Source organism: Homo sapiens, chromosome 1 (assembly GCF_000001405.40).
Source record: "Homo sapiens chromosome 1, GRCh38.p14 Primary Assembly".
NCBI lineage: Eukaryota > Metazoa > Chordata > Mammalia > Primates > Hominidae > Homo > Homo sapiens.
The window spans coordinates 109,443,815-109,455,275 of NC_000001.11; the positions used below are offsets into that span (position 1 = coordinate 109,443,815).

At 40.1% G+C, this 11,461-nt stretch overlaps 2 annotated features.

Moving 5' to 3' along the window:
- Nucleotides 2,519–2,719: a silencer, noted in NCBI's record as "peak355 fragment used in MPRA reporter construct". NCBI's record gives its function as "represses an SCP1 promoter by STARR-seq MPRAs in K562 erythroleukemia cells {active_cell/tissue: K562}" and the evidence as "EXISTENCE:reporter gene assay evidence [ECO:0000049][PMID:32103011]".
- Nucleotides 10,839–11,039: a silencer, noted in NCBI's record as "peak356 fragment used in MPRA reporter construct". NCBI's record gives its function as "represses an SCP1 promoter by STARR-seq MPRAs in K562 erythroleukemia cells {active_cell/tissue: K562}" and the evidence as "EXISTENCE:reporter gene assay evidence [ECO:0000049][PMID:32103011]".

The following is an 11,461-nucleotide window of genomic DNA, read 5'->3' on the forward strand; positions in this document are numbered from 1 at the left end:
TGAACACCAAGGCTCAGAGGAGCTTCCTGGTAGGTGAACACATCAGGGTACTGGAAAGTGACGCATCCTGTCACTGTAGGGGAAAGGGGAAGGATAATCTGAAATCAGAAGCTTCCCAGATTTTGCTTTATGTGTCTCATTTGACTGGCTCTGTTTTGTATACTTCATAATAAAACTATAATCACAAGTATAGCACTTTCCTGAGTTCTGTGAATCATTTTTGGGAATTATTGAACCTGAGGGCATTGTGGGAACCTCTGAAATTTTAGTCAGTTGGTCAGAAGTTTGGGATCCCTGAACTGTGGCTGGCATCTGAAATAAAGCCAGTCTTTCTGGGGTCTGTGACCTTAAAAAAACCTGTGAAGTCTGACACTAACTCCAGGTGGTTAGCATCAGAATTGTATTGCAGTTGTAATTGGTTCTGAATAAAAGGTAAGAGAAAATCCTATTCAAACTGACTTTAAAAACTAAACGGAATTTATTGGTGCACATTACTGAAAAATCCAAAGTATAAGACTTCAGGGCATGGCTTGATATAGCAGCTCATATAGCATTACCAGGACCTGGTTTTTCTGTATCAGGTTTTCTGTTCTGCTTCCTTGAGATTGGCTTCATTCTCAGCAAACTCTCTCCAGTGCAGGATGGCTGCCAGTAGTTTCTGAGGCTATGTGCTTGTGGATTTACATCCAGTTGAGAAGAGAGGGAGAGAGAGGATCTTGATGACTCAAACAGATGTCCGATAATTGAGTATGATTGGCCTAAATTGGGTCATGTGACCATCCCTGAACAAACTACCATGCCCAGGACTATTGCCATAAGCCATCTAGAGCCTATCCCTAAAACCAGAAGTAAGGTCAGTCTTACCCAAATCATTTTGCCAAAAATGGCTTGCCTTAAGCAAAATCTGGGTACTGTTGTTAGGAAAATGGGGAAATGAATATTGGGGATACAATTAGTCATGTCCACTACAGTGTTAAATTGATATTTATTTAATTGACTCTTCATTTAAAATATTAACTGCATTTTGGAAAGCACCTCCAAATCCCTTTAGTTCTTAATTCTGCACTTAAAGAGTTTTCTATCTGAACTCTAGTTGGTTTAAGTATTCTGTGAGATTCTCTTTGCAACCTAGGGATTTGTTAGTGCAATTCAGTAAAATAGAAATACTGCTTGCCAGATTATGTTAAAAACTCACCTTCTCTAGATGTAATTTATGTCCAATTTAATTATTCAGAGAATAAACCCTAAGAAATAAGTTAGGTTGACAGAGTAAGGTGATTCTGATAAAAAAAAAAAAAGGTTGACAGAGTAAGACGATTCTGCAAAAGAACATTTCTTTGCCCTCAGCTCTGCAAGACCACTTGGAACTACCAAAGTAGATATCACAAAGCTTATACACCAAAGCTCCTGGACTTTATTAATGGGAAACATTCTCAGATCTTCATTTAGAGCCAATTTGCTATGATTCTAGATATAGTTCTAACAGATTAAGTTATCTGGTGTAGTGAACCTATGTTGTTCACAATTCTTTTTTTTGGGTAATACTATTTTGATTTTCCTCTGGGTAAACTAGCTCTCTCACTTTCGGTTTTGTGGGTTTTGTAGGGCTGATACCACCCATAAGGTTGAGGAATTGTACATGACCAAGATCCAGTCAGTCCCTTGTCCACAGTAATTGATGCTGAAATGGGCAAGTGGCCCAATTTGGGCTATTGCGAGCCCTACCCAGAACTTTGCCTGCAACTCTGATGGGGTTGCTAGATTGTTAAGATGTAAGCCCAGATCCATATGGGATACCCTGAGGGAAGATCCTGCTGGAAAATTATGCCAATGTAGAGGAAAGAAGAGCAGAAAGATAGAAATAGATTCGGCTGGGCGAGGTGGCTCATGCCTATAATCCCAGCACTTTGGGAGGCCGAGGCAGGTAGACTGCTTGAGCCCAGGAGTTCGAGACCAGCCTGAGAAACATGGAAAAACCCTGTCTCTATACAAACAATACAAAAATTAGCCAGATGTGGTGGCTCATACCTGTGGTCCTAGGGAGGCTGAGGTGGGAGGATCACCTGAGCCCAGGTCGATGCTGCAGTTAGCCACGATCGCCTGTCACTCCACTCCAGTCTGGGTGACCAGAGTGAGACTCTGTCTCAAAAAAAAAAAAAAAATCGTGGCACAGTGGCTTACACCTGTAATCCCAGCACTTTGGGAAGCCGAGGCAGGTGGATCATGAGGTCAGGAGTTCGAGACCAGCCTGGCCGAGATGGTGAAACCCCATCTCTACTAAAAATTCAAAAATTAGCCAGGCATGGTGGCGTGCGCCTGTAATCTTAGCTACTCAGGACACTGGGGCACTCTAATCACTTGAATCTGGGAGGTGAAGGTTGCAGTGAGCCGAGATTGTGCCACTGCACTCTAGCCTGGGTGACAGAGCAAGACTCTGTCTAAAAGAAAAAAAAAAAGAGAGAGAGAGAAACAGAGACAACTGAGCAGAGAGAGAGAGAGCGAGAAAGAGCAAACTCAATTCTGATGTTATACTTTGAGCCCCTGGAACCAGTCATGACTAAAAAATTATTGGACTTTTCAGTTACAGGAGGTAATAAATAACATTTATAGTTTAAACATTTTTGAGTTGGGTGTATGTACTGAAAGAATTTTAACGAATTCATCTGGTTTTCTGGCTCGAGCAGATTAGATTAGAAGTAATAACAAGAAGGATTTTGCTTGAAGGCATGTAAATAAGCAGCAATTTCACTTTTTTTTTTTTTTTTTGAGCCAGTCTCTGTCTGTTGCCCAGGTTGTAATGCAGTGTCTTCATCACAGCTCACAGCAGCCTTGACTTCCTGGGCTTAAGCGATTCTCCTACCTCAGCCTCCTGAGCAGTGATTTTTTAAGTGTTATAAATCCTGAACACTTAATGAAATAAAATACAGTATTTTGGTATCTGGTGCTGACACCAAAAGAAGGCAAAATAAAACTACAAAATCTTTCTTTCTGTTTCATTAAACAGTTTGGGACCCTAATTATTATATCATATCTTATAGTTCAATATCTTACAATACAGGAAAATGTTTGATGATCCTAATGACATTCTTTATTTTTATAACTGCCTTCAATGTTCTTTCACACATAAAACCTTTTTTTTTTTTTTTGAGGTGGAATCTCACTTTGTCACCCAGGCTGGAGTGCACTGGCATGATCTCGGCTCACTGCAACCTCCGCCTCTCAGGTTCAAGCGATTCTCCTGCTTCAGCCTCCCGAGTAGCTGGGACTACAGGCATGTGCCACCACACCTGGCTAATTTTTGTATTTTTAGAAGAGATGGGGTTTCACCATGTTAGCCAGGCTGGTCTCGAACTCCTGACCTCAGGCAGTCCACCCGCCTTGGCCTCTCAAAGTGCTAGGATTACAGGCATGAACCACTGCACCTGGCCGATAAAACCATTTTTGATTTCTCTTTCAGTGAGTAGTTACTATACTGAAGCAAAATTATATTATTAACGTTTCCGTCTTAATTTTTTTCAATTTTTTTTGTTTGTTTTGGTTGTTTGTTTTTGAGACTGTCACCTAGGCTAAAGTGCCTAGTTTGTAGTTTTAGTGGAGATGTGGTTTTTGCCATGTTGGCCAGGCTGGTCTTGAACTCCTGGCCTGAAGAGATTCACCTTGGCCTTCCAAAGTGCTGGGAGGGATTACAGGTGTGAGCCACTGTGCCTGGCCCAGCCTTTTTCCTAAGAAAAAAAAGAAAAAATAAGTGTAGCAGAGGATGGAAGCGGTACGGAGTTACTGAGACTGGGTGGTAAAAAGGGAGTGGGAGGGCTTGTGGTGAGGATGTCAGTGATGGGGGTAGGGATTGGGCAGAAGGAAGGAGGGTTTGAAGAGAGAATGAAGAAGAGTAAATAAATTTGCTGACCAGTGTGTAAAATAATGGTATAACACCAACAAAAATACCTGAATTTCAGTGCTTAAAAATAGCACAGTATACTGGAACATCGTAATACAGAAAACAATAATGCAATGACGACTTCCTCTTCCTTCACCTTCAGTCAGAGTAGCCTCTAAATCTTGTTAATCCAATTTTAGAGACATATCATCCCACCTAGAGATTCTGCTTTCTGAAATATTCTTGGTGCCGACCTTGGAAGGCTCTGGTTCTGTTTCAAGAAGGAAAGCCATTTGCTTTTATCACCTTACATACTGCTGTCAGACTAATATTTCTGAAGCACAGCTCTAATCAGGTAGTCACTAATATTTATTGAGTGTTTGCTATATTTCAGGCACCAGGCTCTACATACATTATCATATTTAACCTTCACAACAGCCATTTTAAAATAGATACTATCATTAGCTCCATTCTGTAGATTAGAAAAAAAACTTTAGAGGAATCAAATCTCCTGAAAAGGAAACACTGCTCCTAAGTGGCAGAACCAGGTTAGGAATCCAGCTCTGTTTGGCTCTGGAGCATGGATTCCTCACTACTATTCTTATTTTATCTCTTCTGCTCAAAACCTAAAAGTAAATAAAGTCTAGGGGCTTATCATTCAAGGCCATTACCCCCAACTGCCATTCCAATTATATTTTCTTTCTTTCTTTTTTTTTGAGAAGGAGTCTCGCTGTGTTGCCCAGGCTGGAGTGCAGTGGCGCGATCTTGGCTCACCACTGCAACCTCCACCTCCTGGGTTCAAGCAATTCTCCTGCCTTAGCCTCCTGAGTAGCTGGGATTACAGGTGTGTGCCACCATGCCTGGCTAATTTTTTTGTATTTTTAGTAGAGACAGGGTTTCACCATGTTGGTCAGGCTGGTCTCAAACTCCTGACGTCATGATTCGCCTGCCTCGGCCTCCCAAAGTGCTGGGATTAAAGGCGTGAGCCACTGCACCTGGCCCGATTTTATTTTCTACTGCTACACTTTCATACATCTGATTTTCAGGGCAAATAGAAGTATTTTCTGATCATCAATACACTGCAGTATTTCACACTACCATGCCTTTGTTTACAAAATGCTTTCGCTGTCTCACTGGTTCTAAAAAATAATAGAAATCTTTAAATCCTTGTTTCATACAATAGTCATGATTTTCCTTATAATAAGAGCCATTGGATTTTACTGTGATACAGATATTTTTTCTTCTTCTGAAGCATATATGAAGATTAAGTGGTTTTTGAAATCTATTAGGCCTTTACAAATTATTTGTAAGTCCAAATCCTAGAGAATTAGGATTCTAGATAACAGAAGTCATTTTCAAAAGTCCAAGAACTCTTTAGTGTCTCCCAAGATTATCTAATAAACAACAACAACAAAACCAATAGGACACAAATTTGGGAAGTGGTAAATCTCATTTTGTAGTTGGAAGTGCCTATATTCCTAACAGGCAGAATATTCAATAATTAAAATATCTGCTATGGAATAATTTTGTAGATTAAAAAAGGCACGAGTAATGTTACCTTGAGTATACAGTTAGTTTGGCTACAGTATGGTTTGAGCTTTTCAAAAAGCAGTAGCTCTTCAGAAAGTACAAAAGAAGAGAATATTGTCTAACTCATTTTAGGGGGCTATCATTACCTTGATAACAAAACCAAACAAAGATAGTTCAAAGAAAGAAAACTATAAATCAATAGCCCTCATGGATATAGATGTAAAAATCCTCAACAGATATTGGAGAGTCCAATTCAGCAATACATAATATATAACACAAATATATAAATACATATATATAACACAAATATATAAAGTACATATATATAACACAAATATATAAAGTACATATATATATATGTGCAAACATATATACAGAATAACACACCATGACAAAAATGCAAGGCTGGCTCAATATTCAAAAATCAGCTGGGCATGGTGTTGGTGCACGTTTGTAGTCTCAGCTACTCAGAAGGTTGAAGCTGGAGGATCAAATCCAGCCTGGGCAACATAGTGAGACCTCCATCTCTACAAAAAAAAAAAATCAGTAGACTCACAAAAATGTAATCAGAAATATAATCTTTGACAAAGGAGCAAGGGCAATTCAATGGAGAAAGAATGGGCTTTTCAACAAATAGTGTTGGAACAACTGGACATCCACATGCAAAAAAATGTTTCTAGCCACAATCTTTACATCCTTCACAAAAATTAACTCAAAATGGATTATAGACATAAATGTAAAATGCAAAGCTATAAAACTCCTAGTAGATAACATAGGAGAAAATTTAGATGGCCTTCGGTTTGCTGATTACTTTTAAAATTTTCATTTATTTTACTTATTTTTGTTAGAGATACATGCCTCACTGTGTTGCCCAGGCTGCAGTCCAGTTTAGGCTCACTGCAGCCTCAAACTCCTGGGCTCAAGTGATCCTCCCACCTCAGCCTCCCAAGTAGGTGGGACTACAGGCATGCCATCACCCCCAGCTAATTTTTTTGTTTTTTGTAGAAACGGGAATATCACTATGGTGTCCAGGTTGGTCTTGAACTCCTCCTGGCCTTAAGTGATCCTCCTGCCTTAGCCTCCCAAAGCACTGGGATTACAGGGATGAGCCACTGTGCCTGGCCTGATGATGACTTTTTAGGTACAATACCAAAGGCATAACCAGTAAAAGAAAAAAATGATGTTGGATTTTATTAAAATTTAAAACTTCTGTTATGCAAAAGATGCTGCCAAGAGAATGAGAAGACAAGCCACAGACTGGGAGAAAATATGTGCAAAAGACTTATCTGATAAAGGAGTATTATTCAAATATAAGAGGAACTCTTAAAATTAAACAATAACAAAATGAACAAACTGATTAAAAAATGGGAAAATGATCCAAACAGACACTTGACCAAAGAAGATGGCGAATAGTATATGAAAAAATGTTCAACATATGTCATCAGGGAATTGCAAATTTAAACAATGTGATACCAATACACACTATTATAATGGCAAAAACCCAAAATATTGACAACATTTAATGCTGGTGGGGATGTGGAGCAATGAGAACTCTTATTCATTGTTAGTGGAGAAAAAAGAAATGGTACAGCCACTTGGAAAATAGTTTGATGGTTTCTTACAAAACTAAACATATTCTTATCATACAATCCAGCAAAATCACCCCTTGGTATTTACCCAAATATGCTGAAAGCTTATGTCCACACAAAACCTGCACATGGATGTTTATAGCAGCTTTATTCATAATTGCCAAAATTTAGAAGCAACCAAGATGTCCTACAGCAGATGAATGGACAAATAAACTGTGGTACATCCAGACAATGGGATATTATTCAGCACTAAAAATAAATGAACTATCAAGCTATAAAAAGACACAGAGCAACATTAAAGGTATATTATTAAGTGAAAGAAGCAAATCTGAAAAGGCTGCCTAGTGTATGATTCCCACTTTATGGCATTCTGAATAAAGCAAAACTATGGAGGCAGTAAAAAGATTGTAAGTTGCCAGGGAATTGGGGAAGGGAGGGATGAATAGGTAGAACACAGAAGATCTTTAGGGTAGTGAAACTCTTCTGTGTGATACTGTAAGGGTGGACACATATCATTTATTATGCATTTGTCAAAATACAGAATATACAACACAAAGAGTAAACTCTGGCTGGGCACAGTGGCTCATGCCTATAATTCCAGCACTTTGGGGGACTGAGGCAGGAGGATTGCTTGAGCCCATGAGTACAAAACCAGCCTGAGCAATATTAGTGAGACCTTGTCTCTCCAAAAAATTAAAATATTAGCCGAGTGTGATGGTGCTCAGTCCCAGCTACTTAGGAGGCTGAGGTGGGAGGGTTGCTTTGGCCCAGGAGGTCAAGGCTGTAGTGAGCTGAGATTGTGCCACTGTACTCCAGCCTGAGTGACAAAGCAAGACCCTGTCTCAAAAAAAAAAAAAAATGCTGTAAACACTAATGTAAAGTATGAACTTTGGTTGATAATGATGTGTCACTGTTGGTTCATCGATTGTAACAAATAAATATATTACATTGGTGTGGGACATTGATATGGGAGATGCTGGGCAGGGGAGGAGGAGGTATACTCTCTGTACTTTCTACCCAATTTTGATGTGAACTTAACACTGCTCTCAAAATAAAATATATTAATTTAATTATACACGTAATTTTTTTCTTTAAAAAAATCCATTTAGGCCAGGCGTGGTGGCTCATGCCTGTAATCCCAGCACTTTGGGAGGCCGGGGTGGGTGGATCACCTGAGATCAGGATTCAAGATCAGTCTGACCAACATGGTGAAACCCCATCTCTACTAAATACAAAAAAATTAGCTGGGTGTGATGGCGCATGCTTGTAATGCCAACTACTTGGGAGTCTGAGGCAGGAGAATCGATTGAACCAGGAGGCGGAGGTTGCAGTGAGCTGAGATTGTGCCATTGCACTGCAGCCTGGGCAACAAGCGTGAAATGCCATCTCAAAAAAAAAAAAAAACAATTTAATTTGCCATACTAAAAGTCTAAATAAGAAAGTGTAGCAGTCTTCCTGCTCCTTAGCTCAGCTAAGTCGGAGTTCTTGCCTCACAACCAGGAAGAATTAGGCACACGGACACCAGAGAGTGAGTGGAGTAGAATTTATTAAGCAAGAACTCTCAGTGGAGAGGGGACACAGTGGGATGGTTCCCCTACCTGAAGGTGGGAAGTCCCCTGTGTGGCTGGGTCTGGGGCCTTTTATGAACTTAGAATGGGGAGTGCATGCTGATTGGTTTGTGAGTATGCAAAAAAGGTTAAAGTGAAGACACCACTCTAAAGTAGGTATAACAATGTAAAAAACCAATTAGGAAAGGGTAGGTATATGTAAAATAGGTGAAGAGTGGGGACCAATCAGAGGAAAGCACACCAAATGGGAAGAAAAGTTCTCAATCCGGTTGGAGGATTGAACTTGTAGCCTGGCTTCCAGGCTTTCAACTGCCTTTGGCTTGGAGGTGGGGTTGTACTGGGGACCTGCCCCAATTTGCCTAGGCATTTGGCTGCCTCCTGTCACTATCATTTCGCCCCTCTGAAGAGGGGCCATTAGATATCATCGCCATTAGAATAGGGATGAAGTCCAAGGCCGGGCGTGGTGGCTCATACCTGTAATCCCAGCACATCGGGAGGCTGAGGCGGGCAGATCACAAGGTCAGGACAAGACCATCCTGGCTAACACGGTGAAACCCCATCTCTACTAAAAAATACAAAAAAAAAGCCGGGCTTGGTGGCGGGGGCCTGTAGTCCCAGCTACTCGGGAGGCTGAGGCAGGAGAATGGCATGAACCCGGGAGGTGGAGCTTGCAGTGAGCCGAGATCGAGCCACTGCACTCCAGCCTGGGCGACAGAGCGAGACTCTGTCTCAAAAAAAAAAAAAAAAAAAGAATACGGATGAAGACCAATCTTAACTGCTTCCTGCTGACAGGGGGTGCTGTTTTGCGAAAACGGCAGTCAGATCTCCCTCAGAGGTCTAAGGGTCCCCAGTAAAAGGGAGCAATTGTCCAAGCAATTGTCTCCGGTTACATGATCATTTGGAGTTTGATGGCCTCTAGGCAAGAATAAACAATTTGGTTTATTAGAAGACATGTATCAAATGAAACAAGGGGGTAAGGACAGCTCAAAAATCCCAGGGCTGCCAATACACTCAGATAGCTGGTGGCCATAGTTATGCCTGCTAAGATTTGGGTGCATGTTGGCTTTGGTTAGCTCCCTTGTTCTGATTTTCCCAAACAAAGAAACCTCCAGGTTATGAGCACCCCATTTACTTCTATCACCTGGCAGGATTTGCAGGAGAATTGCCCAGAATTAGAATATTGATCCAGATTTTTACATTACCCATCCCTTCTCTTTCTTCTGAGCTGCAGTGGGAGATCACTGGTTGGTTCACAGGAACAAGCAGGATTAGTCTAAAATGTGGGCAAAAACTTAAAAACAACTAATGAGATTAGAATTTAATGGCAAGTGTATGATAAGTTTGAAACATAATTTTTCTTTCTCCAGTCCTTATTTTTGTTAAAGACAAATCATGATAGGACTGAGTTGTTTGCAAAATAAACTTTAGTCTTATACTTGTCTCTTATACTGATTATTATCTATACTTATATTGATTATTTGCATAAAGTATAGCAAGAATAATTATTTTTCACATAGGCTTTTTTTTAAAAAAAAATTTTTTTTTTTGAGGCAGAGTCTCGCTCCGTCACCAGGCTGGAGTGCAGTGGCGCAATCTTGGCTCACTGCAACCTCCGCTTCCTGGGTTCAAGTGATTCTCCTGCCTCAGCCTCCCAAGTATCTGGGATTACAGGCGCCTGCCACCACGCCCAGCTAATTTTTGTATTTTTAGTAGAGATGGGGTTTCACCATGTTGGCCAGGGTGGTCTCAAACTCCTAATCTCAGGTGATCCACCTGCCTCAGCCTCCCAAAGTGCTGGGATTACAGGCGTGAGCCACCATGCCTGGCCCACATAGGCTTTTAAACTTGGCTTTGATGGAACTCTGTTCCACAAGGAAGCTCAGATAAGACCTTTTAAAGCCAAGTCCAGCCATGGGTTTATACCCTCATATACCTATGAGTTGGGTAAATTCCTCTCTTCTTGAGATCTCAAGATAACATGGGACTCCTGTGCCTGTTAGAAAGTGACCTTCTTTACTCAACACAGGTTAGGAACCCTGTACAGGGACAGTGTAGAGAAAGCATGTGACCAGTTTTCCCAGGGGGGTTTTATTGGCTCTGCAAGTCAAGCTTGATTCCCTAAAGGAAAGCACATCATTCCAGTCAAAGCCTTGGTGAAACAACTAGTTTCTCCAATTGTGTCCTGTTGCAAAAGAAAATGTTTCTTATTGCACTGACGCAAATTAATTACTATATTGCTGTAAGTTAAGAATACTCACAAATAGTTTCCAAATTATAGAGAAACCAGGCAGGGAGAAACAAATATGCTTCAAATTTTGTTCACAGGAGTATAATTTACTCAATTATTAAAGGCTGTAAATGTCTCAAAATAAAAGTTTCCTTGATTCTGAAAAACAAAACAAGGATCAGCAATGTCTTAAGCAAAAAGTTATAAAAAGATTACTTCAGTTTTCTGTTAGTTCAGTCAATTCAGTGAACCCTTATTCTGCTTGATATTCATGAACATTTTGGCTCTTCATGAGTCCTGTATGTTTTCCTCTATTCCAATGTTGCAATCTCCAAAGTTATCAGAAACCTGTATTTCAGACCACCTGTCAAAGTCCTATAGCTGATTATAAACCATCTTTTGAAAAGAATCAAAGCAAGACAACAATTGTCTGTGAATGACAAAATGTCCTCAGGGTAGTTAGGATCAAAAACACAATTGACAAAGAAATTTGGTTATTTCTGTGGTTGACAATAACTTAACATAGTAACCTTAATTATGATTGCTAGCACATACTCAGACATTAGAATTTTAGAAATCCCTTGCAATTCTGGAACATATGTTAACATTATTCACTAAAATATAACCTGAAGAGAATTAAACATTATTTTGGCAATGCTACATAAATAAACAT